The sequence below is a fragment of the Homo sapiens genome, chromosome 2 (genome assembly GCF_000001405.40).
Source record: "Homo sapiens chromosome 2, GRCh38.p14 Primary Assembly".
NCBI lineage: Eukaryota > Metazoa > Chordata > Mammalia > Primates > Hominidae > Homo > Homo sapiens.
The window spans coordinates 10105492-10132793 of NC_000002.12; the positions used below are offsets into that span (position 1 = coordinate 10105492).

The window sequence follows — 27302 nt, forward strand, 5'->3', positions numbered from 1 at the left end:
TGAGTGCCTGTGGCTTTTCCAGGTGCATGGTGCAAGCTGCTGGTGGATCTGCCATTCTGGGGTATGGAGGATGGTGGCCCCTTTTCTCAGCTCCACTAGGCAGTGCCCCAGTGGGGACTCTGTGTGGGGGCTTCAACCCCACATTTCCCCTCCACACTGCCCTAGTTGAGGTTTCCTTTGAGGGCTCTGTCCCTGCAGCAAACTTCTGTTTGGACATCCAGGCGTTTCCATACATCCTCTGAAATCTAGGTGGAGGCTGCCAAGCCTCAACTATTGCCCTCTGTGCACCTGCAGGCTTAACATCACATGGAAGCCACTGAGGCTTATGTCTTGCACCCTCTGGATCAGCTGCCTGAGATTAATCTGGGGCACTTTTAGCCATGGCTGAGCTGGAGTGGCTGGGATGCAGGGAGCAGTGTACTGAGGTTGCGCAGGGCAGCAGGGCCCTGCCCATGAAACTGTTCTTCTCTCCTAGGCCTCTGGGCCTGTGATGAGAGGGCCTGCCTTCAAGGCATTTTTCCCATTGTCTTGGCTGTTAATATTTAACTCCTTTTTACTTATGCAAATTTCTGCAGCCAGCTTGAATTCCTCCCCCAGAAAATGGGCTTTCTTTTCTACCATATGGTCAGGTTGCAAATTTTCTAAACTTTTATGCTCTGCTTTTTTTTTTTTAGATGGAGTCTCACTCTAATTGCCTAGGCTAGAGTGCAATGGTGCGATCTCGGCTCATTGCAACCTCCGCCTTCTGGGTTCAAGTGATTCTCCTGCCTCAGCCTCCCAAGTAGATGGAATTACAGGCGCCCACCACCACACCTGAGTAATTTTTGTATTTTTAGTAGAGATGGGGTTTCACCATGTTGGCCAGGCCAGTCTTGAACTCCTGACCTCCAGTGATCCTCCCGCCTCGGCCTCCCAAAGTGCTGGAATTATAGGCATGAGCCACTGCGCCCAGCCGCTCTGCTTCCTTTCTAAATATAAGTTCCAGTTTCAGATCATCTCTGCTTTTTTTGTTGTTGTTGTTTTGTATTGTTTTTTCAAGATGGAATCTTGCTCTGTCGCCCGGGCTGGAGTGCAGTGGCGTGATCTTGGGCTCACGGTAACTGCCACTTCCCAGGTTCAAGCAATTCTCCTGCCTCGGCCTCCAGAGTAGCTGGGATTACAGGTGTGGATCACCATGCCTGGCTAATTTTTTTTTGTATTTTTAGTAGAGATGGGGTTTCCCAATGTTGGCCAGGCCAGTCTTGAACTCCTGACTTCAGGTAATCCACCCACCTCGACCTCCCAAAGTGCTGAGATTACAGGGATGAGCTACCACACCCAGCCCTCAGATCATCAATTTGCTCACACCTCATGCATATAACCATACACTGTTAGAAGCAGCCAGGCCACATCTTGAACACTTTGCGGCTTAAAGATTTCTTCCACCAGATACCCTAAATCATCATTCTCAAGTTTAAAGTTCCACAGATCCCTAGAGCAGGGGCACAATGCCACCAGTCTTTTTGCTAAAGCATAGCAAGAATGACGTTTACTCCAATTCCCAGTAAGTTCCTCATCTCCACCTGGGACCACCTCGGCCTGGGCTTCATTGTCCATATCGCTATCAACATTTTGGTCATGATAATTTAACAATTCTCTAGGAAGCTCGAAATTTTCCCCCATCTTCCTGTCTTTTTCTTTACAGGAACATGTACACTTGCCCTTGTTCATAGCAGCACTCTTCATAATAACCAAATGGTAGAAACAACCCAAACATCCACAGATGATTGGATAAACAAAATGCCGTCTATGCACACGATGGATTATTATTCAGCCTTAAAAAAGGGACATTATGACCCATCTTACAACATAAATGAACCTTGAGAATGTTATGCTAAGTGAAATAAGACAGTCACTAAAAGAACAAACAATATATGATTCTATTCATATGTGGTACTTAGAGTAGTCAAAATCATAGAGATAGAAAGTAGAATGGTGTTGTCAGGGGCTATAGGGAGGGGGAATGAGGAGGTTTTGTTTGTTTTTTGTTTGAGACAGGGTGATCTCTGTGGCCCAGGCTGGAGTACAGTGGTATGATCACGACTCACTGCAACCTCGATCCTCCCAGGCTCAGGGGAGCCTACCACCTCAACCTCCCTGGTAGCTGGGACTACAGGCACATGCCACCACACCAGGCTAATTTTTTATATTTCTAGTAGAGACAGGTTTTTGCCATGTTGCCCAGGCTGGTCTCCAACTCCTGGACTCAAGCAATCTGCCCACCTTGGTCTCCCAAAGTGCTGGAATTACAGGCGTGAGCCACCGCGTCTGTCCTGAGGAATTATTATTTAATGGGTCCAGAGTTTCAGTTTGGGAACATAAAAAAGTTCTGTGAGTAGATGGTGGCAATAGTTGCACAACAATGAGAATATACTTAATGTCACTGAGCTTCACACTTAAAAATGGCTAAAATGGTAAGTTTTATGCTGTATGTATTTTACTACCATTTTTAAAAATGATTTTTTAAAAGTTAATGATAAAAATCACAAAATTGGAATAAAAGTGATCTCCTTTCCCTTGTCTTATGATGATTCAGAGCAATTAAAAGGCCCAGAAGATGAGGTAGGTGTTCCCTCCTGTTATCTTTTTTTTTTTTTTTTTTTTTTTAGAGAGAAAGTCTCACTCTGTCACCCAGGCTGGAGTGCAGTGGCACCATCTCGGCTTACTGCAACGTGTGCCTCCCAGGTTCAAGTGATTCTCATGACTCAGCCACCTGAGTAGCTGAGATTACAGGTGTGCGCCACCACGCCCAGCTAATTTGTTTGTTTTTGAGACAGTCTCACTCTGTCGCCCAGGCTGGAGTGCAATGGTATGATCTCGGCTCACTGCAACCTCCACCTCCCAGGTTCATGCAGTTCTTCTGCCTCAGCCTCCCGAGTAGCTGGGACTACAAGCATGTGCCACGACGCTTGACTAATTTTTTTGGTATTTTTAGTAGAGATGGGGTTTCACCGTGTTGGTCAGGCTGGTCTCGAATTCCTGACCTCAAATGATCCACTCACCTCAGCCTCCCAAAGTGCTCGGATACTGGCATGAGCCACTGCGCCCAGCCTCCCCTGTTATCTTTGTGTTCCCTGTGTAGTGCCAGTTGGGGGTCTCATGCTATGCTAGGGTAGGTGTTCCTTCAAAGGGGCAGCCCAGGCAACTTTATATTAGACTCCATGAGGCTCCCCTGCCTGTTCTTCTATTGTGTGACTTTGGGAGATTCTCTTTATCTCTGGATGTAATTTTTTTTTTTTTTTTTTTTGAGACAGGGTCTCACTCTGTCACCCAGGCTGGAGTGTGGTGGTACATCATGGCTCAATGTATCCGTGACCTCTTGGACTCAAGTGATCCTCCAGGCTCAGCCTCCTGAGTAGCTGGGACCACAGGTGTGCAACAACATGCTCTGTGTCACCCAAGCTGATCCTGAACTCCTGGGCTCAAGTGATCCTCCCACCTCAACCTCCCAAAGTGGTGGGATTACAAGCGTGAGCCACTGCACCTGGCATGGATCTAAATTTTTTTCTCCCATAAACCAAGAGGGGTAGGATCAAAGGCTTTTGGGATTCACTTCTAAAATCATGATTCACGATTCACTGGTTCAATAACTAGAATTTCACTTTCAGATCAATCTGGTAGCACCGTGCAAGGTGAATTAGAAAAAAGACAGAATGGTAGGAAAGAGATTGGAGCTAATGAATAATAACATGTTGAACAGTGAGAGAAATAGGTTTTTAAAAACATGAGAACAGTTAAAAGCCTGGGTATAGATTAAGTAGCCCCAACAAGCAGCAGTTAGGAACTTCAGAAAAAAAAAAAAAAAAGAAAAAAGGGGATAGCAGATGAGACACACCAGAGGAAAAACTGGCTGATCATTTTTCAGAATTTAAGACATGAGATTTCACAATGAAATACAATCTGGGAACTAAGCAAGATAAAGAAAAGTAAGCATTCATGTAATCACATCAGAATAGAATTTCAGAATACCAAAGAGGAAGAGAAAAATCTCAAAACTTATGAAGAGAAACACAACTGCAGACTTCTCACAAGAAACAACTGACAATGGACAATGGAGTAACAATGCCAGAGGCCTGAGGGAAAATAACTCTGGCCCAGGGAATTCTACTCTCAAACTACTGTTCAGTATAAATGTAACATATCAAAACCTTTGGAATGCAGCTAAAATCCTATTTGAAGGGAGATTTATATCATTTATTATAAAACAGAGATAGTGAAAATAAACTAAGTATTTAATTCAGGAAAGTAGAAAACATCCACAGAGTAAACAAAAAAAGCAGAAGAAACAAAAGAATAAAGAATGGAAATTGATTAAATATATACCCAATAAATATTTAAATGAACAAAACAGAAACAGCAAAACCAGGGCCAGGCATGATGGCTCACACCTGTAATCCCAGCACTTTGGGAGGCTGAGGTGGGTGGATCACAAGGTCAGGAGTTCAAGACCAGCCTGGCCAACACAGTGAAACCCCATCTCTACTAAAAATACAAAGAAAAAAAAAAAAGAAACAACAAAACCAAGTTTCTTTTTCCCTCTCAGATATATAAAATTGGCAAATTTCTACTAAGACTAATAAGGGAAAAACAGAGAAACCAAAACTAACCACTATTAGGAATTAAAATGGGTTCACAATACAAATGCTTTAGAAGCTCAAAAACTCCCTTTATTTCACAATAACGTTTTAAGTAATAAAACAGGGCCGGGCGTAGTGGCTCACACCTGTAATTCCAGCACTTTGGGAGGCTGAGGTGAGTGGATTACCTGAGGTCAGGAGTTTGAGACTAGCCTGGCCAACATGGTGAACCCCCGTCTCTACTAAAAATACAAAAATTAGCCAGGCATGGTGGTGGGCACCTGTAATCCCAGCTACTCAGGAGGCTGAGGCAGGAGAATCACTTGAACCCAGGAGATGGAGGTTGTAGTGAGCTGAGACTGCGCCATTGCACTCCAGTCTGGGTGACAGAGTGAGACTCAGCCTTGAAAAAAAAAAAAAAGTGATAAAACAATGCTATGAAAACTTAAAATAAATGTGAAAACCTAAGATCAACAGGACAATTTTCTAAAATTATAAATATCCAAAAAAGAGTTAAGAAGGGATAGAAAATTGGGATAACCCATTGCCAAGAAAGAAACATATTTGGAAGTCTCAAACTTTCCCCCTGAAAAAGACACTAATCCTAGACAGTTTATAGGAGTTACTGACAAAAATTTAAGGAACAGGCCGGGTGTGGTGGCTCACACCTGTAATCCCAGCACTTTGGGAGGCCGAGGCAGGAGGATCACGAGGTCAAGAGATCAAGACCATCCTGGCCAACATGGCAAAACCCCATCTCTACTAAAAATACAAAAATTAGCTGGGTGTGGTGGTGCGCGCCTGTAGTTCCAGCTATTTGGGAGTCTGAGGCAGGAGAATCGCTTGAACCCAGGAGGCAGAGGTTGCAGTGAGCCGAGATCATGCCACTGCACTCCAGCCTGGCAACAGAACAAGACTCCACCTCAAAAAAAAAAAAAAAAAAAAAAAAAATTAAATGAACAAAAAAATCACCATACTATACAGTGTTTTAAACAACAGAATAAAAGTTGCAAAATTCATTTTATAAGAATAAACTTCATATATAACTAAATAGGAAAAAGAACAAGAAAATAAAATTATAGGGTAATTTCAATTAATAATACTGATTTAGGTGGGGTGCGGTGGCTCAGGCCTGTAATCCCAGCACTGTGGGAGGCCGAGGCAGGCAGTCAGTTGAGCTCAGGAATTCAAGACCAGCCTGGCCAACATGGTGAAACCCCATCTCTACTAAAAATACAAAAAAATGAGCCAGGCGTGGTGGCAGATGCCTGCAATCCTAGCTACTTGGGAGGCTGAGGCCAGAGAATCGCTTGAACCTGGGAGGCGGAGGTTGCAGTGAGATCTGGCCACTATACTCCAGCCTGGTCGACAGAGACTCCACTTCAAAAAAAAGAAAAGAAATTGATTTAAAAATTCTAAATAAAGCATAAACTATGTCAATTCATCATAGAAAATAATATATGCTTTTCTGTGGAGCATGTTTCAAAAAAAACAAAAATTTTTAAATTAAAAAAAAAGAAAATAGGCTGGGCATGGTGGCTCACGCCTGTAATCCCAATACTTTGGGAGGTTAAGGCTGGAGGATTGCTTGAGGCCAGGAGTTTGAGACCAGCCTGGGCAACACAGCGAGTCCTCGGGAGGCAGAGGTTACAGGTGAGCCGAGATCGTGCCATTGTACTCAAGCCTGGGCGACAGAGTGAGTCTCCGTCTCAAAACAAAACAAAACAACATCAACAACAACCACAACAAAAAAATTTTGCATAGGATATTAGCATTGGAAAGGAAGAGATAAAACTGCCATTTTTAAAAGATAGTCTCATTTCTTTTTTTTTTTTGAGACAAAGTCTCGCTCTGTTGCTTAGGCTGGAGTGCAGTGGCGCAATCTTGGCTCACTGCAACCTCCGCTTCCTGGGTTCAAGTGATTCTCCTGTCTTAGCCTCGCGAGTAGCTGGGATTACAGGCACGCACCACCACGTCTGGCTCATTTTTATATTTTTAGTAGAGACGGGGTTTCACCATATTGGTCAGGCTGGTCTTGAACTCCTGACCTCAGGTAATCCACCCACCTAGGCCTCCCAAAGTGCTGGGATTACAGGCGTGAGCTACCGTGCCCGGCCTAGAATAAATAATTTCTAAATTCAAGACCAAATAAATTTTTTTTTTTTTGAGACAGGGTCTTGCTCTGTCACCCTGGCTGGAGTGCAGTGGTACCATCTCAGCTCACTGCAACCTCCACCTCCCGGGTTCCAGTTCTCCTGCCCCAGCCTCCCAAGTAGCTGGGACTACAGGTGCATGCCACCACCCACAGCTAATTTTTGTTTTTTAGCAGAGACTGGGTTTCACCATGTTGGCCAGGCTGGTCTCGAACTCCTGACCTCATGTGATCCACCCGCCTTGGCCTCCCAAAGTGCTGGGATTACAGGCGTGAGCCACCATGCTTGGGCCAAATACCAAAATTTAGACACTAGTGATGATGATAAATAATAGCGATAGTAGAAGAAGGTGCAGTATAAAAATGGTTAAGAACAAATACAGCCAACAGAGCTGGGAACCACTGACAATTAAGAACTCACATAGAAATTAGTAGGAAGGGGCTGGGCATAGTGGCTCACGCTTGTAATCCCAGCACTTTGGGAGGCCGAGGCAGGAGGATTGCTTGACCTCAGGAGTTCAAGATCAGCCTGGGCAACTCTGTCTCTATTTTAAAAAAATTAATTGATAAAAAATTAGTAGGAAGAGATAGGGTGACATTAAGATTTAGAAATCAAGGCCGGGCGCGGTGGCTCATGCCTGTAATCCCAGCACTTTGGGAGGCCGAGGTGGGTGGGTCATGAGGTCAGGAGATCGAGACCATCCTGGCTAACACTGTGAAACCCCGTCTCTACTAAAAATACAAAAAATTAGCCTGGCGTGGTGGCGGGTGCCTGTAGTCCCAGCTACTTGGGAGGCTGAGGCAGGAGAATGGCGTGAACCTGGGAGGTGGAGCTTGCAGTGAGCAGAGATTGCACCACTGTACTCCAGCCTGGGGGACAGAGTGAGACTCTGTCTCAAAAAAAAAAAAAAAAAAGATTTAGAAATCATATGATAAAAACTATTACAGCCCTATTAGAGACCGCCTAGACCTTAAGATCTTTGTTTAAGGCCGGGTGCTGTGGCTCATGCCTGTAATCCCAGCACTTTGGGAGGCCGAGGCGGGCGGATCACGAGGTCAGGAGATTGAGACCATCCTGGCTAACACGGTGAAACCCCGTCTCTACTAAAAATACAAAAAAAAAAAATATATATATATATATATATATATATATATATATATATATATTAGCCAGGTGTGGTGGCGGGCACCTGTAGTCCCAGTTACTGGGGAGGCTCAGGCAGGAGAATGGCGTGAACCCGGGAGGCGGAGCTTGCAGTGAGTCGAGATGGCGCCACTGCACTCCAGCCTGGGCAACAGAGTGAGACTCCGTCTCCAAAAAAAAAAAAAAAATAGATCTTTGTTTAAATCTTAAAAATGAAAAACAATTTTGTTAGTATTTTTCTTTTCTTTTTTTCTTTTTTTGAGATGGACTCTCGCTCTGTCACCCAGGCTGGAGTGCAGTGGCACCATCTCAGCTCACTGCAACCTCCACCCCCCGGCTTCAAGCAATTATCTTGCCTCAGCCTTCTGAGTAGCTGGGATTACAGGTGCGCACCACCACGCTTGGCCACTTTTTGTATTTTTAGTAGAGACGGGGTTTCACCATGTTGGTCAGGCTAGTCGCGAACTCCTGACCTTGTGATCCACCTGCCTTGGCCTCCCAAAGTACTGGGATTACAGGCATAAGCCACCGTGCCCGTCCTTAGTATTTTTCAAAGCTTTCAAAATGAGACTTCTGTTTTTTAGCTGCTTAAAACAACCACTATTTTATCTCATAATTTTGTGTATCAGGAATTTGGATGGGGCTAAGGTTGGCAATTTTTCTTCTCCACGTGATGTAAGCTGAAGTCACCAGGTAGAACTCATCTGGTGAGGCCTGGTGCAGCCGAATAATAACTTTTTAATTCCAAAGAATATTTGAAAAGAGACAAAAACTGGGCGCAGTGACTCACATCTGTAATCCCAGCACTTTGGGAGGCCGAGGCAGACAGATCACTGAAGGTCAGGAGTTCGAGACCAGCCTGGCCAACATGGTGAAACCCTGTCTCTACTAAAAATACAAAAACTAGCCGGGCGTGGTGGCAGGCACCTGTAATCCCAGCTACTCAGGAGGCTGAGGCAAGAGAATTGCTTGAACCCGGGAGGCAGAGGTTGCAGTGAGCCGAGATCGCGTCACTGCACTCCAGCCTGGGTGACAGAGCAAGACTCCATCTCAAAAAGAAAAGAAAAGAGACAAAAGAACACAAAACAGGTGGGTAAGTAGAAAACAAGTACTAATATAGTAGATGTAAACCAAATATATAAGTAATTACATTCAATGTAGATGGTGTGATGGCTGGAGGATTGCTTGAGCCCAGGAGTTCGAGGCTGCAGTGAGCTACGATCGTGCCACTGCACTTGAGTCCAGGAGACAGAGTGAGATCCTGTCTCTAAATAATAATAATGATAATAAAGTAAAATAAAAATGAGCATAAAGATTGGATAGGAAGACGTAAAACTGTCATTCTTTACAGGCACCATGACTGTGAATGAAGAAAACATAAAGGAGTCCACAGATAAACCAAATTAATTACAAATTGATCAAGGTTGTAGGATTTAAGGTTAATAATATGAAAAACAATGTCTATATATATCAGTGCATAAATTTAGAAAATAAAAAAGTTAAATGATACTACTTATCATAGAATAAGAAATAATAAATATCCAGGAGAAAAATTTTTTAAATGTGCAAGACCGCTATATAGGAAGCTACAAAAAAAAGTACTGAAAAAAATTAAGGACAACATAAATAAATGGAGGGATATACCGTGGCCATGGATTAGAAGACTCAATATCATAAAGATGTCAGTTCTCCTAAAATTCATCTAATGATTCTAACAATGTAATCTGAATGAAAAGATATTCAAAATGAAAATCAAAGCACATGGAGATGAAAAGTTTTAACATTCTAAATAAACCAGATCTAGGTAATAAAGGAAATCAAAACCCACATCTCAGACTATTTAAAAAATGCAAAAGTGAGATCACTATCCATTAAAACCTGTGGGATTTGCCAAAACCGTACTCAAAAGAAAATGTAACAGCGGCCGGGTGCGGTGGCTCTTGCCTGTAATCCCAGCACTTTGGGAAGCTGAGGCACGTGTATCACTGAAGGTCAGGAGTTTGAGACCAACCTGGCCAACATGGTGGAATTCCTTCTCTATTAAAAATACAAAAATTAGCTGGGTATGGTGGTGGGTGCCTTTAATCCCAGCTACTCGGGAGGCTGAGGCAGGAGAATTGCTTGAACCCAGGAGGTGGAAGTTGCAGTGAGCCAAGATGGCGCCACTACACTCCAGCCTGGGCGACAGAGAGACTCTGTCTCAAAAAAAAAGAAAAAAAAAAGAAGTAAACCCAACCAATATTTGAGAGGGGATAAGCAAAGAAATTAATTAGTTAGAAAGCAAGATGTGAGCAAGGGCCTGGTGACATGCATGTGTGATCACAGCTACTTGGGAGGCTGAGGTGGGAGGATCACTTGAACCCACGAGTTCGAGTCCAGCCTGGGCAACGTAGTGAGATCCCAACTCAAAAAAAGTAAATAAAACAAGAAAGCAAAATACACAGATGTCCCACACCAGGTGAACAGCCATCCAAGGAAATGCACACTACTCAGCAATAAACAGGAAGAAACTGTTGATACATTCAACAACTTGGATGAATCTCAAGGGCATTATTTCTAGTTAAAAAAAGCCAGTTAATCTCAAAGGGTTCCACATTATATGATTCCATTTATAGAATATTATCTAAGACAAATTACAGTGATAGAGACCAGATTAGTGGTTGCCGGGAGTTAAGGCTAGGGTGTTAACAATTAGGAGCAACACAGGGATCTTCTTTGTGGTGATGGAACAGTTCTGTATCCTGATTTGGTGATGGTTATTCAAATCTACACGTGATAAAATTTCAAAGAACCATGTACACATACACCTATACATGACTGCATGTAGAAACCAGTGAAATCCAAACAAGGTTAGTAATTTAATTACTGTCAACTTCCTGATTTTGACAATGTACTATGGTTATGTAAGATATTGAGTAACCTGGATGAGTAACTTTACCATTTTTGCAACTTCTGTGTGTCTTAAACTACCTCAAAATAAAGCTTAATACTTTTTTAAAAAAGAAAAAAAAAGACATAAATGGAATATTAGGAAACTAAAACTGCAACATATATAATAGAAAGAAATACTGTCCAAATCATATAAAGCCCCTATAAATCAATAAGAAAGTGATAAATGACCCAATCAATAAATGGACAAAGCCCAGGCACAGTGGCTTAGGCCTGTAATGTCAGCGTTTTGGGAGGCTGAGGCTAGAGGATCACTTAAGGCCAAGAGTTCAAGACCAGCCTGGGACCCATAGTGAGACCCTGTCTCTATAATAAAAGAAAATGAGCCGGGCGTGGTGGTGTGCACCTGCAGTCCTAGCTACTTGGGAGGCTGAGGTGGGAGGATTGCTTAAATCCAGGAGTTGAAGGTTGTAGTGAGCCATTATTGCACCACTGCACTCCAGACCAGGTGACAGAGCAAGACCCTGTTTCTTTTTTTTTTTCAGATGGAGTTTTGCTCTTGTTGCCCAGGCTGGAGTGCAATGGCACGATCTTGGCTCACCGCAACTTCCGCCTCCCGGGTTCAAGCAATTCTCCTGCCTCAGCCTCCCAAGTAGCTAGGATTACAGGCATGTGCCACCACACGTGGCTAATTTTGTAATTTTTTTAGTAGAGACGGGGTTTCTCCATGTTGGTCAGGCTGTTCTGGAACTCCTGACCTCAGGTGATCCGCCCGCCTCGGCCTCCGAAAGTGTTGGGATTACAGGCGTGAGCCACTGTGCCTGGCCAAGACCCTGTTTCTTTTAAAAAAAAAAAAAAGATGTGGCAGACACTAGGAATTTTTATTTTTTATTATTTATTTATTTATTTATTTATTTTGAGACAGAGTCTCACTCTGTTGCCCAGGCTGGAGTGCAGTGGTGCAATCTTGGCAAGCTCCGCCTCCCGGATTCTCGCCATTATCCTGCCACAGCCTCCCGAGTAGCTGGGACCACAGGCGCCTGCTGCCACGCCCGGCTAATTTTTTTGTATTTTTAGTAGAGACGGGGTTTCACCGTGTTAGCCAGGATGGTCTCAATCTCCTGACTTTGTGATCTGCCCACCTCGGCCTCCCAAAGTGCTGGGATTACAGGCGTGAGCCACTGCGCCTGGCCAGACTAGGAATTTTTAAATAAGCATAACAAACATACTGAAATCTGTGGATTCTAAATTCTAAGAGTTAAAAGCACATAGTTGTGGTTTTTATTTTTATTTATTTTGAGATAGCATCTTGCTCTGTTGCCCAGGTTGGAATGCAGTGGCGTGATCACGGCTCACTGCTGCTTCAACCTCCTGGGCTCAAGCAATACTCCTGCCTCAGCCTCCTAAACAGCTGGGACCAGAGATGCGTGCCACCACAATCAGCTACTTTTTTATTTTTCACAGAGACAAGGTCTATGTTGCCTAGGCTGGTGTTGAACTTCTGGGCTCAAGCCATCCTCCCACCTCAGCCTCCCAAAGTGCTAGGATTACAGGTGTGAGCCACCATGCCGGCCAGTTGTCATTTTAAAGTGCTAATATTTGCAACATGATGGAGATTACATCTCCTGTAACTATTTATGACTAAAAGTTTAAATGTCAGTTTAATTCTTATTTATTTTAGTTTTAGAGACAGGGGTCTTGCTGTGTTGCCCAGGCTGGTTTCAAATACCTGGTCTCAAGCAATTCTCCTTCCTCAGCCTCTGGAGTAGCTGGGAGTATAAGGGTGTGCCACTGTGCCTGGCTAAATGTCTATTTTAAATGTGTGTAAAGTGGCACATAACTGTTCAACATCATTTTAGAGGTTATCTGAGCACGAAGAAAATCATTAATCCCAAAGGCTCTGCACTGTGCTGGCTGCCTCATCCTCACCATCTCCTGAAAATGGCCTCTCAGTGGCTGAAGCTCTCCAATGCGAATGTTCTAGACACAAATGATGTGGTGACACTCACATCAGCATCAAACAGCTCCATCTGGTTGTCCACCCTGCTTCCTGCTTAACCATTTCCTGCTGACTTCTGAGTGAGTGACACATAAACTAACTACAAAGTTGAACTGGGCTGCTCCTGAGACTTGTGGTTGTGGTGCTGCTGTGCTGTGCTACATTAAGAATGTTGGGCTGGGCGCAAGGGCTCATGCCTGTCATCCCAGCACTTTGGGAGGCCGAGGTAGAAGGATAGCTTGAGCCCAGGAGTTTGAGCCCAGCCTGGGCAATATCGTGAGACCTCATCTATATATATATATATATAAATATACGTAATTGGCAGTTCATATTAAAACAAAGTTTTTGAGAGTCTGGAATTCTGGAGTTAGTCAGACCTGGGTTCAAATCCTAGCTATATTATCACGTATGAAGTCTTCTTGCCAATAACTTTTAGCCTTAGGCTAATAACGATCCCCCGCCGGACTTTTTTTTTTTTTTTTGAGACGGAATTTCATTCTTGTTGCCCAGGTTGGAGTGCAATGGTGTGATCTCGGCTCACTGAAACCTCTGCCTCCTGGGTTCAAATGATTCTCCTGCCTCAGCCTCCCAAGTAGCGGGAACCCAAGTAGCGGGAATTACAGGCGCCTGCTGCCACGTCTGGCTAATTTTTGTATTTTTAGTAGAGATGGGGTTTCCCTATATTGACCAGGCTGCTCTCAAACTCCTGACCTCAGGTGATCTGCCTGCCTCACCCTCCCAAAGTGCTGGGATTACAGGCGTGAACCTCCAAGCAGGGCCTAATAAAGCCTTTTGACCTAACTTCCAGTGTAGAGTACAGGGGTCAGGAAAACAAGTTCATTGACACTGTGAATAAACAATTAGGCAAATGTAGAATGTGGGACATTCTACAAGAAAACTGGCCTGTACTTCAAAGTCAATGTCGTGGGGAAAAGAAGTGGAGGAGCTTTACTAAGAGTCTAAAGCAACATAATAAACGCAATGCATGTGATTAATTAGATACTGCACAAAAAAATAAATCCAAAAAACTATGAGACATTTTTGAAACAATTGGAAAAACAGGAATATGGACTGGATATTAGGTTATATTAGAGAATTATTGTTAGTTTTCCTAGGGATAAATGTGGTATTGTGGTGATATTAACAGAGTGTCCTAATTTTTAGGAGCTGAAACGTTTAGGGGTGATGGGTTATGATATCTATCACTCACTTTCAAATGATCCATAAAAAAGCATAAGCCTCATACACCCACAGAGGGGGTGTCTGCCACATTTGCCATGAAGCAAATATGGCAAAATGGAAACAGCTGTTGAATCCTAGCTGGTGGGTGAACACTAGGAATCCTTCCATTATTCTGTATGTTGAAAACATTCATAGTAAAAAGCTAGGCTAAAAACGTTCTGCTGTGCAGTTGTGCTGTGCGACCTTGGGCAGTTTCCTTGCCTCCCAGGCCTTCATTTCATCACCTATGAAAAGGGTTAAAAATACCAACCCCGGTGGGGCGGTGGCTCACGCCTGTAATCTGAGCATTTTGGGAGGCCAAGGCGGGTGGATGGCTTGAGCCCAGGGGTTCAAGACCAGCCCGGGTAACATACCGAGAACCCATCTCTACAAAAAATTAAAAAATTAGCCTGGCGTAGTGGTGCCTGCCTTGAGTCCCAGCTACTCGGGAGGCTGAGGTGGGAGGATCGCTTGAGCTCGGATAGTTGAGGCTGCAGTGAGCTATCATGGAGCCACCAGACTGGGCAACAGAGCAAGACCCTGTCTCAAAACAAAAAACAAAAAACTCAAACAGCCTCACATGATCCAGGCGCCCAGAGGCTGTGGGTGCTGCAGCCTTAATTATTATTATGACCACCTTCGGCACGGCGTCTGGTACACAGTGAGTGCTGAGCTCCCCGAGCCGCGGTTTCTCCACCCTAATGGTGAACAGCCTTTTGGAAGTCGCGCTAACCTTGGCCTGAGACCTGCAAACTTGCCCAGGCTGGGGCGTGTGAACCGGCGAGCGCGCAGCGGAAACGGGGCGGGGCACCTGAGGCTGGGAATGCAGAGGAGCCTTCCGGGGGGCGGGGCGGGGCCTCCCGTGCAGACCAATGGTGGAGTAGATGCAGATGTCAAAACGCGCGCTCAAGTGGCTTCCGCCAGGAATCCCGACGCTTAGGGAGGCGGAGGGAGGATCGCTTGAGACCAGCCTGGGCAAACAAGCGAGACCCTCGTCTGTTTACTTAAATAAAACCAAAAAAACGAGCACCGAGGGAAAAAGGAGTGAATCCCGGGGCTAGCAGCAGCCTGCGGCGGGCGCTCTCCCGGGAGTGGCTGCACCGCCCGACCTCCCCGGAGGCGGAACCGCCCGCATTGCCGCGTGGCCCTGGGCGCCGCCACCTCCTCCGCAGCGGGGCAAAGTTGCCGGACCTGGGGGCAGGAGGGCCACGCCGAGATGACTCAGGTTTAGCGCGGGAGGGGAGGATGGCGACTTCACCCGGCCTTTAACAACACGTACGCATCTTTCGGCGTCTTCTACAATGGCTATGTTAATTACGTGGCCAGGAACTAAACTATCAATGAAGCCACCTCTGACTACTTCAGTTACAGTGAGTTTAACAGGAGCAAAAAAGCACGTGGCGCCCTAGGGCAACCGAAACGAGGGTTTTAGACGCTGATTATGGGAAATTGAAATCTGAGTTGAGTATGAGATGACACCAATAAATTATAATTTTGTTAGATAATAGCTTTATCAGCCATAAAGTAATCAATAAAAATACCAGTTTCCTGGAGATGGATGCTTTAGTGTGTTTGGGGTGAAAATGGCGATGAATGGCGAGTTGCTTTAAACAAATCATGGTACACCAAAGTTTTAGTTGTGGCTTTGTGTAAGGAATGTGATGGGCACTTATTCCTGCAACACGAGAATACTATGATTTACAAGTCCGTAGTACTTTTAAGAAATGAGAGAAACAGACCTAGGTGGGGAGGGTACCTGTCCCACCCCACCCTCTTTAAAGTATCTTATCTAGAAAAGGCTTTGTGAAAAAAAAAGTCCCGGGTCTCTCTCAATAACAGCCCTGAGCGCAGCTGTTGAAGCTTTCTCAGGTTAATGATTTCTTTCTTGGATCTTAAAGTTTCTTTCTCTTCCTTTATTTTTGGCATTTTGCCCGTTGCAGGGCCTGGCAAATCAGAAAGCCACATAGAAAATTAAATGAAAGCTATTGCTAAGTTCCAGTCTCTACACCAGTGGAGTTTTCAAACTCCTCTTCAGCATATTTGACGCCCAATGAGTAGTACATTAATTCCTAGTCCTAAAATCATTCTGTGAACTTTCTCCCAGGAATTTTTGCTCAGTTTGCAATTAAAACAACTTTTTTTCTTCTCTTTTTAATGGCAGAGGCGGGGTCTCACTATGTTGCCCAGGATGGTCTCCAGCTCCTGGCCTCAAACAATCCTCCTGCCTTGGCCTCCCAAAGTGCTGGGATTACAGGCGTGAGCCACCGCGCCCAGCCACAGTTTGCAATTCTTAAGGCAAGGGTGACAATAGGGGTCAGGGGTCTGACAGGAGACAGGATTTCTGTGGAAAACTGCACCAAGGGCCTTCTCGCCATGTCCCGTAGTTTGAAGGTTTACAAAGGACTGCACATTTTACATGAGTCATCTCAACGAACGCTCTCCTCACCGCATTAACAGTCCACGCGGTTACGAGTCCCATTTTACTCACGGGGACACCGAATCTGTAAGAAGCCTGGTCGCTTGTCCCAGCAAAACGAGCCACGGGGCTCAGCGGCCCTAACTTTTAGGCTGTAGGGTCCTCGCCGACCACCCCGCCAAAATGTCAGGCCTCGGGGCCCTTGCACCCCCACCGCAGGGACACGGATCGAAAGGGTCGCAGCAACGCCTCCCCCGCACCCAGGAGCGTTTTCCAGGCCTTTGCACCAACCTCGTTGGCTAAGCCCCCTGCCCGGCGGCGGCCCGGCTGGGAGGAGGTGCTTTCGGGAGGCGGGGCCGCGGCCCGGGGATCCTCTCGCGCCCGCGGGCTCCAATCGCTGCTCCTCACGCAATCCTAAACGGTTCCCGGGCGAACCGGGGCCCGCGCGCGCCAAGGCCGCCGAGACCCTCAGGGGCTGCGGCCCTGGTCCCGCGGGACCTGTGGGGGCCTGGGCGGCGGCGCCCCCGACCCAGCCAGCGGACGGGCCGGGGGGGGAACCGGGAGGTCCCGGGGGGCGTCCACGGGGGTGTCCCCGGGGGTCTCCGGAAGGCGCCGGCGGAGGCTCCCGCGCTGCGCTTGAAAATCGCGCGCGGCCCCGCGGCCAGCCTGGGTAGGGGCAAGGCGCAGCCAATGGGAAGGGTCGGAGGCATGGCACAGCCAATGGGAAGGGCCGGGGCACCAAAGCCAATGGGAAGGGCCGGGAGCGCGCGGCGCGGGAGATTTAAAGGCTGCTGGAGTGAGGGGTCGCCCGTGCACCCTGTCCCAGCCGTCCTGTCCTGGCTGCTCGCTCTGCTTCGCTGCGCCTCCACTATGCTCTCCCTCCGTGTCCCGCTCGCGCCCATCACGGACCCGCAGCAGCTGCAGCTCTCGCCGCTGAAGGGGCTCAGCTTGGTCGACAAGGAGAACACGGTGAGCCCGCGGGGAGGGCGCTGCGGGCAGGGGAGGGAGGCAGGGAAAGCGAAGCCGCTCCTCACTCACACGCGTCTCCCCGCAGCCGCCGGCCCTGAGCGGGACCCGCGTCCTGGCCAGCAAGACCGCGAGGAGGATCTTCCAGGAGCCCACGGAGCCGGTGAGTGGCGGGCGTGGGGCAGAGGGGCCAGGGACGGCCTTGGGCGTCTTGGCGCCAAAGCCGCATTGTTTCCTCAGCTGTTCACACTCCCGCCCCGGCTCCTTTCCCGCCTAGGCGGCCCCTCCCCAGGGCTGCCTCCCGCGCCCCTCGGCCCATTTCCCGGTTCGGGCGTGCGCTCCTCTGCTGCGACCCACGGAGTGCGACGGGACAGCCACGTTTTCACATCGGGCCCCGTGAAATTGCCGCCAATGGAAAGGACTTGGTCCAGAAAAACGTTAGTTTCATATGGTTCGCCCGGTACTTAAATGTTTTATTTTCTCCCCCAACAGAAAACTAAAGCAGCTGCCCCCGGCGTGGAGGATGAGCCGCTGCTGAGAGAAAACCCCCGCCGCTTTGTCATCTTCCCCATCGAGTACCATGATATCTGGCAGATGTATAAGAAGGCAGAGGCTTCCTTTTGGACCGCCGAGGAGGTAATCGGAGGACCCCAGAAGACCCCTGCAGGGGTGACCGTCACGCCTCAGACATAAATGCACTTGGAGGTTCCCGTTGGCAAGGGGGGCTAACTGTGGGGCATAGTAAGTGGTGCCAGCATACTTAAAGTTTGAGTGCTCAGTGTGAGTCCTGTAGGCTTTACTCTCTTCCTTTTATGCTAAAATTGTGACTTCCGAACCTCAGGTGGACCTCTCCAAGGACATTCAGCACTGGGAATCCCTGAAACCCGAGGAGAGATATTTTATATCCCATGTTCTGGCTTTCTTTGCAGCAAGCGATGGCATAGTAAATGAAAACTTGGTGAGTTTCCAAAACATCTTTCATTCATTTGACGTTGACGATCTGAGGTCGAACTAGTTCGCTTTCCTCGTCTTGTATGTTTTTCCATGCTGAGTGCATCTGTGTGTGTAAGCTGGGTTTTATATTACATGGCATTTCCTGTTTTGTAACACTTTGCAGTTCTTTCTTATGGTATTTTCCCGACTCTAGAGAAGCTGAGACAATATTAAGTGGTAGCAATGTGATGACTCTTTGTGGCCACCACATCTGCCCCCTCTTTTTTTTTTTTTTTTTGAGACAGAGTCTCACTCTGGCCCAGGCTGGAGTGCAGTGGTGTGATCTTGGCTCACTGCAACCTCCGCCTCCTGGGTTCAAGCGATTCCCCAACCTCAGCCTCATGAGTACCTGGGATTACAGACGTGCGCCACCATGCCTAGCTAATATCTGTATTTTTAGTAGAGACAGGGTTTTACCATGTTGGCCAGGCTGGTCTCGAACTGCTGACCTCAGGTGATCCACCCACCTTGGCCTCCCAAAGTGTTGGGATTACAGGCGTGAGCCACCACGCCCGGCTCTGCTCCCTCCTTTTTGTGGCTTTGCTGTTTTAATAATAATTTGGTTGTATCTCTTATTGCGAATGGATCTTTCTTGACATAAATTAATTAGGAAATCGAGCGCTCACAAATCCTATTTTATATGTATCTATTTCCTGATATGTAAGTTGAGCATATGACATAAAATATCAAAGAATTGTGACAAATTGGATGAAATATATATAGAAATAAACCTTATAATGGTACAAAGAGTGCGATGCTGCCAGTATCCGTTGACAGTTGCTGCTGTTGGTTTTTTCTCAAGCTTAACTTTGATGTGTTTTGCCACTAGGTGGAGCGATTTAGCCAAGAAGTTCAGATTACAGAAGCCCGCTGTTTCTATGGCTTCCAAATTGCCATGGAAAACATACATTCTGAAATGTATAGTCTTCTTATTGACACTTACATAAAAGATCCCAAAGAAAGGTGAGTATTCAAGTGGTATGCCAAGATTTTTAGGACTCACTAATTGTTGATTTATTACACATTTTTAGTTCACCTAGGGATAAAAATGACTCCAGAATGACTAAGACAGTCATAGGCATTCCCAGCACCCGTGGTCATGTCTGCTCTTAGCAAGGGGCCTAAATGCACTTTATTATTCACTTAGAGTTGTGAAGGTACTCCTTTTAAAGTTGGATGTCTACCAATGTAAAACCTTCTTTTGAAAAAATTCCTAGATGTTGGGTAAGACAAACTAAAACCTATGTCTGACCATCTTTGCTCATTTGGTAAAGTTGTTGAGAAGCTAGAATGTGGGGCTGCAGTGGGATGGACGGGGAGGACTTGCCTCCTAAGAAGCCTGCAGTATAGTATAGGCAAATAAGACTTAGTAGGAGTTACATAAGGCAGAGGCAGCAGTGAACCCTGAGACTGATTTAGGCATGCAGGAGTTTGGCTGAATAAAGGTAGCTTAAGGTCTGTTTTGTTTTGGAGATTGGAGGTGGGGGGATTAGAAATGGGCTGCTGGAGTAGTCTAGATACAAAGGTCAGCTTTAGGGTGGCGCGCGGTGGTTCTCGCCTGTAATCCCAGCACTTTGGGAGGCTGAAGCGGGCGGACAATGAGGTCAGGAGATCGAGACCATCCTGGCTAACACGGTGAAACCCCGTCTCTACTAAAAATAAAAAAAGTGGTGGCGGGCGCCTGTAGTCCCAGCTGCTTGGGAGGCTGAGACAGGAGAATGGCGTGAACCCGGGAGGCGGAGCTTGCGCTCCAGCCTGGGTGACAGAGCAAGACTCCGTCTCAAAAAGCAAAACCAAGCAAAAAAAACAAAGGTCAGCTTTGGGGACCAGAACCTTGTATGGAGTGGAAGTGGTGAAGCTGCAACCTAAAGTAGCCGTTGTAGACTTTGAAGTACATGAAGAGGAAAAGTGGTAACTTGAAAGGACTGAGGAAACATTGGGAGTAAAGAGATTTGAACATGTTTATAGGTGGAAATTGAGAAAAGAAGGCAAAGATTAGGGGTACGATCGGGGGCAAATGCCCAGAAGGGGAACAGGAAGGTCTGCTGGGGAAGCCTCAAAAACAAGGGAGAGGCAGACCCAGGTCTCAGAGAGAGGGACAGTGAGATGGAAAGAATGAACGACAGCTGGGCATGGTAGTCTGAGCTAGTAGTCCCAGCTACTTGGCAGGCTGAGGCAGAAGGATGGCTTGAGCCCTGGAGTTTGGTTTTACCGTGAGCTGTGATCATCTCGCTGCACTCTAGCCTGGGCAACAGAGTGAGACCCTCATCTCTTTAAAAAAAAAAAAAAAAAAAAAAAAAAAAAAGCTGCCCAATGTCTGGTGCCCTTGGCTTCAGAACACAAAGTCATCTGGGTAGGAACAGTCTGGGAAATGAGTAGCCTCTCAAGGTGGGCACCAGAATAAAGGGAGGCAGAGGAGGGTGGTAAGGGAGATCCAGTTAACTGTAGTACCCATGGATTTGCTTTCCTGACCTGGGATCGACAGTGTAGCACAGAGTCCTAGTAGGAAGCAATCTTAGTTTATTGGTTTAATTATTTTATGATATAGGTGTGGCAACTGAGGCCAAATAATGCACCTAATCATAGTCTGATAATAGCACAGCAGTTAGGATTTTATGGTTCTTCAAATTTAAATTCTATGATTCTTCAAATTGAACAATGATCTGGACTTGAAATAATTTTAAAGGCAACAAATGTCCCTGCTGTACTGGACTATGTTTTACTGTCTGTAGACCCTGAAGCTCAATATGAACTACAGAATACCCAAACTTGTATTAATGTAAATCAAGTGTTGAGGTTTTTAAAAGAACACTGGAGGGAAAAACTGACCAGTAAAAATAAAACATTTCGGTGTGAGTTCTTCCTTTAGGAAGAGGATTGGCAAATACTTGAATTTGGCCTTTGTCCCAGAGCTCTTATCTAGCAGTTGGTAATCGGAGGTCTTTTACTGTAATGCTTCAATTGCTGATACCGTATGTGCCTACTAGGGAATTTCTCTTCAATGCCATTGAAACGATGCCTTGTGTCAAGAAGAAGGCAGACTGGGCCTTGCGCTGGATTGGGGACAAAGAGGCTACCTATGGTAAGGAGACCCTTGCCCCTACTTAAACCTGAGCTTCATTTTCCAAGTAATGTTACTGGATTTTTGGCCCTTGAATACCAACTCACTAGAATCATGTTGGTGTTAACTCCTAAATAGGTGAACGTGTTGTAGCCTTTGCTGCAGTGGAAGGCATTTTCTTTTCCGGTTCTTTTGCGTCGATATTCTGGCTCAAGAAACGAGGACTGATGCCTGGCCTCACATTTTCTAATGAACTTATTAGCAGAGATGAGGTGAGTCTAAGTCAAATAATAGGGTGACCTAAACCCCAAACACAACTCGGGCATGCTCTTGTGTTCACTGACGGGGACCTGAGATGCTAGATGGCATATATCCACATTTAATGTGTGAGTTCAACCATACACATACTTGACAAAAGAAGGAAATACTTTCATTTACTGAAACTGTTTTACTTGCATTCTCAATATATTGTAATACATTTGTACATATGTATTCCCCTATAGGCTTTGAATGCATAAAACTACAAGTTCTTTGTTTTTTGAGGTGACGGAATCTTGCTCTGTCGTTCCAGGCTGGAGTGCAATGGCGTGATCTTGGCTCACTGCAACCTCTGCCTCCTAGGTTCAAGTGATTCTCCCGCCTCAGCCTCCCAAGTAGCTGGGATTGTAGGTGCCTGCCACCATGCCCAGCTAATTTTCGTCTTTTTATACAGACGGGGTTTCACCATGTTTGCCAGACTGGGGTTGAACTCCTGACCTCAGGTGATCAGGTGATCCACCCGCCTCGGCCTCCCAGAGTGCTGGGATTATAGGCATGAGCCACCATGCCCAGCCAAAACTACAAGTTATTGATGGGATTGGGATTTTAAGGGATGTTTTATTATTTTTGCCTGGTATTAATATGTTATCCCTTTTTCCGTAAAAATGTTCATAGTAGAGCCAGGAGCGGTGGCTCATGCCTGTAATCCCAGCACTTTGGTAGGCCGAGGCGGGTGGATCATGAGGTCAGGAGATTGAGACCATCCTGGCTAACACGGTGAAACCCCATCTCTACTAAAAATACAAAAAATTAGCCGGGTATGGTGGACGTGCCTATTGTCCCAGCTACTTGAGAGGCTGAGGTAGGAGAATCGCCTGAACCTGGGAGGTGGAGGTTGCAGTGAGTCAAGATCACACCACTGCACTCCAGCCTGGGTGACAGTCCCCCCGAAAAAGAATGTTCATAGTAGCCATTATGTTTCTCCTGTTTGATCTAGAAATTGCCCCTCTACTTCAATATTAATAAGCATTTCAATGAAATGAGTATACATTTTGGTCTAGTGTATGTCTTTGATTAAGTCACATTTGAAAAGCCAGGAGCATGAACTCCATCTTACTTGGAGCCCAGTGGGCAAATCAAATATGGTTACCTTGTAGGAGGGCCTTCCTTACTGGATTGGGAGATAAGCTGTGAAGCTTGATGTTTAATGCAGTAACTTGCAAACTTGATTTACTTGAAATTGCATACAAATTTCCTGAGCATCTAAAAACTAGCCTTATTACTGAGCTTTGCCTTTCCTGCTGGGAGTAGTGGCAAAATTAGCACTCATGGCTGTAGAAAGATCACTGAGTGAAGCTCTGACTCCTCCTTTGCCAACACACAGCAGAGCAAGAAATACACCTTGCCTGTCTTCATCTAGGTGGCAACTTTGAGGGTCTTGAATGGGACTGAGCTTGCCTTGGTAGTGACATCAGCAGAGAAGTCAGTAGTTGAAGTCATCTTCCCTTTGAGAGTTCAAGTGCTCTCAGTATGGCTGAGCATGTTGGATAAGGAGAATGCAGAAAAGGACAAAGTAATTTCATATTCCATGTTAATGACAGAAGTCTTCTGGCTTTAGTGATCTTGAACTTTTTTTTCTAGGGTTTACACTGTGATTTTGCTTGCCTGATGTTCAAACACCTGGTACACAAACCATCGGAGGAGAGAGTAAGAGAAATAATTATCAATGCTGTTCGGATAGAACAGGTAAAGTGGGTGATGAAATGGGTCACTCAAGCTTGCTAGAAAATGCCTGTGCTTTAGTTGTATTCAGAAGCTGTATTTTGGTTCCTAGGAGTTCCTCACTGAGGCCTTGCCTGTGAAGCTCATTGGGATGAATTGCACTCTAATGAAGCAATACATTGAGTTTGTGGCAGACAGACTTATGCTGGAACTGGGTTTTAGCAAGGTAAAGTATTGTTTACATAGCCTTTTGCTTGTTTTGAAGCTGGTGCTCTGTATTTATATCTTGATGTGAACCTTTTCAGGTTTTCAGAGTAGAGAACCCATTTGACTTTATGGAGAATATTTCACTGGAAGGAAAGACTAACTTCTTTGAGAAGAGAGTAGGCGAGTATCAGAGGATGGGAGTGATGTCAAGTCCAACAGAGAATTCTTTTACCTTGGATGCTGACTTCTAAATGAACTGAAGATGTGCCCTTACTTGGCTGATTTTTTTTTTCCATCTCATAAGAAAAATCAGCTGAAGTGTTACCAACTAGCCACACCATGAATTGTCCGTAATGTTCATTAACAGCATCTTTAAAACTGTGTAGCTACCTCACAACCAGTCCTGTCTGTTTATAGTGCTGGTAGTATCACCTTTTGCCAGAAGGCCTGGCTGGCTGTGACTTACCATAGCAGTGACAATGGCAGTCTTGGCTTTAAAGTGAGGGGTGACCCTTTAGTGAGCTTAGCACAGCGGGATTAAACAGTCCTTTAACCAGCACAGCCAGTTAAAAGATGCAGCCTCACTGCTTCAACGCAGATTTTAATGTTTACTTAAATATAAACCTGGCACTTTACAAACAAATAAACATTGTTTGTACTCACAAGGCGATAATAGCTTGATTTATTTGGTTTCTACACCAAATACATTCTCCTGACCACTAATGGGAGCCAATTCACAATTCACTAAGTGACTAAAGTAAGTTAAACTTGTGTAGACTAAGCATGTAATTTTTAAGTTTTATTTTAATGAATTAAAATATTTGTTAACCAACTTTAAAGTCAGTCCTGTGTATACCTAGATATTAGTCAGTTGGTGCCAGATAGAAGACAGGTTGTGTTTTTATCCTGTGGCTTGTGTAGTGTCCTGGGATTCTCTGCCCCCTCTGAGTAGAGTGTTGTGGGATAAAGGAATCTCTCAGGGCAAGGAGCTTCTTAAGTTAAATCACTAGAAATTTAGGGGTGATCTGGGCCTTCATATGTGTGAGAAGCCGTTTCATTTTATTTCTCACTGTATTTTCCTCAACGTCTGGTTGATGAGAAAAAATTCTTGAAGAGTTTTCATATGTGGGAGCTAAGGTAGTATTGTAAAATTTCAAGTCATCCTTAAACAAAATGATCCACCTAAGATCTTGCCCCTGTTAAGTGGTGAAATCAACTAGAGGTGGTTCCTACAAGTTGTTCATTCTAGTTTTGTTTGGTGTAAGTAGGTTGTGTGAGTTAATTCATTTATATTTACTATGTCTGTTAAATCAGAAATTTTTTATTATCTATGTTCTTCTAGATTTTACCTGTAGTTCATACTTCAGTCACCCAGTGTCTTATTCTGGCATTGTCTAAATCTGAGCATTGTCTAGGGGGATCTTAAACTTTAGTAGGAAACCATGAGCTGTTAATACAGTTTCCATTCAAATATTAATTTCAGAATGAAACATAATTTTTTTTTTTTTTTTTGAGATGGAGTCTCGCTCTGTTGCCCAGGCTGGAGTGCAGTGGCGCGATTTTGGCTCACTGTAACCTCCATCTCCTGGGTTCAAGCAATTCTCCTGTCTCAGCCTCCCTAGTAGCTGGGACTGCAGGTATGTGCTACCACACCTGGCTAATTTTTGTATTTTTAGTAGAGATGGAGTTTCACCATATTGGTCAGGCTGGTCTTGAACTCCTGACCTCAGGTGATCCACCCACCTCGGCCTCCCAAAGTGCTGGGATTGCAGGCGTGATAAACAAATATTCTTAATAGGGCTACTTTGAATTAATCTGCCTTTATGTTTGGGAGAAGAAAGCTGAGACATTGCATGAAAGATGATGAGAGATAAATGTTGATCTTTTGGCCCCATTTGTTAATTGTATTCAGTATTTGAACGTCGTCCTGTTTATTGTTAGTTTTCTTCATCATTTATTGTATAGACAATTTTTAAATCTCTGTAATATGATACATTTTCCTATCTTTTAAGTTATTGTTACCTAAAGTTAATCCAGATTATATGGTCCTTATATGTGTACAACATTAAAATGAAAGGCTTTGTCTTGCATTGTGAGGTACAGGCGGAAGTTGGAATCAGGTTTTAGGATTCTGTCTCTCATTAGCTGAATAATGTGAGGATTAACTTCTGCCAGCTCAGACCATTTCCTAATCAGTTGAAAGGGAAACAAGTATTTCAGTCTCAAAATTGAATAATGCACAAGTCTTAAGTGATTAAAATAAAACTGTTCTTATGTCAGTTTCTTGATTGGTAAAATTTGCATTTTAATTCAGGAAGAGAAATATTTTTTGGCCAGGCATGGCTGTAATCCCAGCACTTTGGGAGACCAAGGTAGGCAGATCACCTGAGCTCAGGAGTTCGAGATCAGCCTGGCCAACATGGTGACACCCCATCTCTACTAAAAATACAAAAATTAGCCTGGCATGGTGGCACACGCCTGTAATCCCAGCTACTCGTGAGGCTGAGGCAGGAGAATCACTTGAACCCGGGAGGCAGAGGTTGCAGTGAGCTGAGATTGCACCGCTGCACTCCAGCCTGGGCAGCAGAGTGAGACTGTCTGAAAAAAAAAGGTGTTTTTTGTAAAGGCTAACGAATTCATTTGCTTTCCACTGGTTCTGGGCAAGAGACTTGCCTTGTGCCTATTGGCACAAGGTGTATAGGAGACAGGTACACCCGAAAGGTGGTGCCCAAAAATACTAACTGCCATACTGCACGTGGGGTTTGTGAAGCCGGGGCTGAGTTAACTTCTCAACCGTGGGGGAGCCACTCCTGGGGCTCTTTTCCCGTTTGCAAAACAGGTGGGGCTAGAGGTCTTCCCAGCTGGAGTTTTGCTCTGCTGTCCCACATCTGACCTGTGTGGACTCCAGCACAGGTTTGGATTGGTCCCTGTGTCTATAAAGGCCCTTTCCTGACTCGGAATCCCACCCACTTTGATAAAGCCTTTTAGAATTCATGACACCCATCCCCAAACGAACCAATCATTCCTTGTACCTCACGCCACTGCCATTCAGTTCATTGAACAAACAGCAGCTCTCTTGTCAGGTGACGTTTTCTACCTGCATTTTAATTCAGGAAGATGGGGCGCTAAGCCAGAGGGGAGGCCCCTCCCTCTGGAGCTTGGGTTTACTCCTAGAGAGGAAAACTGATAGATGAGTAGATCTGAATTGTTGGGCAGTGGTGGGGGCAGCAGAGAATTCTAAGGTGGATGGGAGTGATTGGGAGAGGTCTCATGGGGGGAGATGATGTTTCCTTAGTGGAGGGGACTGGGACTAGTGTCTGAGGTTGTGCTGCTTCCGACTCCTGTGTTCTCATGAAGATTTCTTCCCGTGCTGCTCTGTAAGAGAAAGTTGTCTTTGAGGGCACAGATTTTTATCTGTCTTTATATTTATAAGCATAAGGCCTCCAAGGATCAGGTATTTAAGTGACTGGTACATGGGGAAATAAACTAATTGGAACTGAAGTATTTTGGGGTGGATGGTATCTTGGGTAAAAGTGTGATCTGTGTCCCAGAGGAACCTAGTAGAGAGCTTTGCCTTTACACCTAAAAGTGTTCAGTTAAGGTCATTTGATTTGTAATGTCAGGTTGGCGCTGGGCCTATTGCACAAGTTCGGGGCAG

At 45.4% G+C, this 27302-nt stretch overlaps 1 protein-coding gene across 3 annotated transcripts in view, besides 7 other annotated features; it reads left to right on the forward strand.

The window, feature by feature from the left end:
- Nucleotides 14035-14978: an enhancer, noted in NCBI's record as "H3K27ac hESC enhancer chr2:10259653-10260596 (GRCh37/hg19 assembly coordinates)". NCBI's record gives its function as "activates a minimal SCP1, AML or CMV promoter by ChIP-STARR-seq in naive H9 embryonic stem cells {active_cell/tissue: H9 hESC(naive)}" and the evidence as "EXISTENCE:reporter gene assay evidence [ECO:0000049][PMID:30033119]".
- Nucleotides 14979-15921: an enhancer, noted in NCBI's record as "H3K27ac hESC enhancer chr2:10260597-10261539 (GRCh37/hg19 assembly coordinates)". NCBI's record gives its function as "activates a minimal SCP1, AML or CMV promoter by ChIP-STARR-seq in primed H9 embryonic stem cells {active_cell/tissue: H9 hESC(primed)}" and the evidence as "EXISTENCE:reporter gene assay evidence [ECO:0000049][PMID:30033119]".
- Nucleotides 15970-16525: an enhancer, noted in NCBI's record as "H3K27ac hESC enhancer chr2:10261588-10262143 (GRCh37/hg19 assembly coordinates)". NCBI's record gives its function as "activates a minimal SCP1, AML or CMV promoter by ChIP-STARR-seq in naive H9 embryonic stem cells {active_cell/tissue: H9 hESC(naive)}" and the evidence as "EXISTENCE:reporter gene assay evidence [ECO:0000049][PMID:30033119]".
- Nucleotides 16283-16352: an enhancer, noted in NCBI's record as "active region_15298". NCBI's record gives its function as "activates an Ori minimal core promoter by ATAC-STARR-seq in GM12878 lymphoblastoid cells {active_cell/tissue: GM12878}" and the evidence as "EXISTENCE:reporter gene assay evidence [ECO:0000049][PMID:35858748]".
- Nucleotides 16373-16482: an enhancer, noted in NCBI's record as "active region_15299". NCBI's record gives its function as "activates an Ori minimal core promoter by ATAC-STARR-seq in GM12878 lymphoblastoid cells {active_cell/tissue: GM12878}" and the evidence as "EXISTENCE:reporter gene assay evidence [ECO:0000049][PMID:35858748]".
- Nucleotides 16703-17302: a silencer, noted in NCBI's record as "silent region_11158". NCBI's record gives its function as "represses an Ori minimal core promoter by ATAC-STARR-seq in GM12878 lymphoblastoid cells {active_cell/tissue: GM12878}" and the evidence as "EXISTENCE:reporter gene assay evidence [ECO:0000049][PMID:35858748]".
- Nucleotides 16709-17209: a silencer, noted in NCBI's record as "fragment chr2:10262327-10262827 (GRCh37/hg19 assembly coordinates)". NCBI's record gives its function as "represses an EF-1alpha promoter that drives an FKBP-Casp9 reporter gene in an ReSE screen in K562 erythroleukemia cells {active_cell/tissue: K562}" and the evidence as "EXISTENCE:reporter gene assay evidence [ECO:0000049][PMID:32094911]".
- RRM2 (ribonucleotide reductase regulatory subunit M2) overlaps nt 17077-27302 on the forward strand; it is an 88443-nt gene continuing 78217 nt past the window's right edge. The window contains exons 1-10 of one of the 3 annotated variants that reach the window (NM_001165931.1): nt 17077-17406; nt 17492-17566; nt 17896-18039; nt 18245-18361; nt 19226-19359; nt 21384-21478; nt 21596-21729; nt 23357-23461; nt 23550-23663; nt 23743-25928. In NM_001165931.1, the coding sequence (NP_001159403.1) occupies nt 17128-17406; nt 17492-17566; nt 17896-18039; nt 18245-18361; nt 19226-19359; nt 21384-21478; nt 21596-21729; nt 23357-23461; nt 23550-23663; nt 23743-23895 (1350 nt within the window). In that variant the 5' untranslated portion in view covers nt 17077-17127 and the 3' untranslated portion in view covers nt 23896-25928. Of the gene's footprint in view, nt 17407-17491; nt 17567-17895; nt 18040-18244; nt 18362-19225; nt 19360-21383; nt 21479-21595; nt 21730-23356; nt 23462-23549; nt 23664-23742; nt 25929-27302 lie in introns of those variants that run through there. The other 2 variants (NM_001034.4, NR_164157.1) reach the window with 2 other exon arrangements.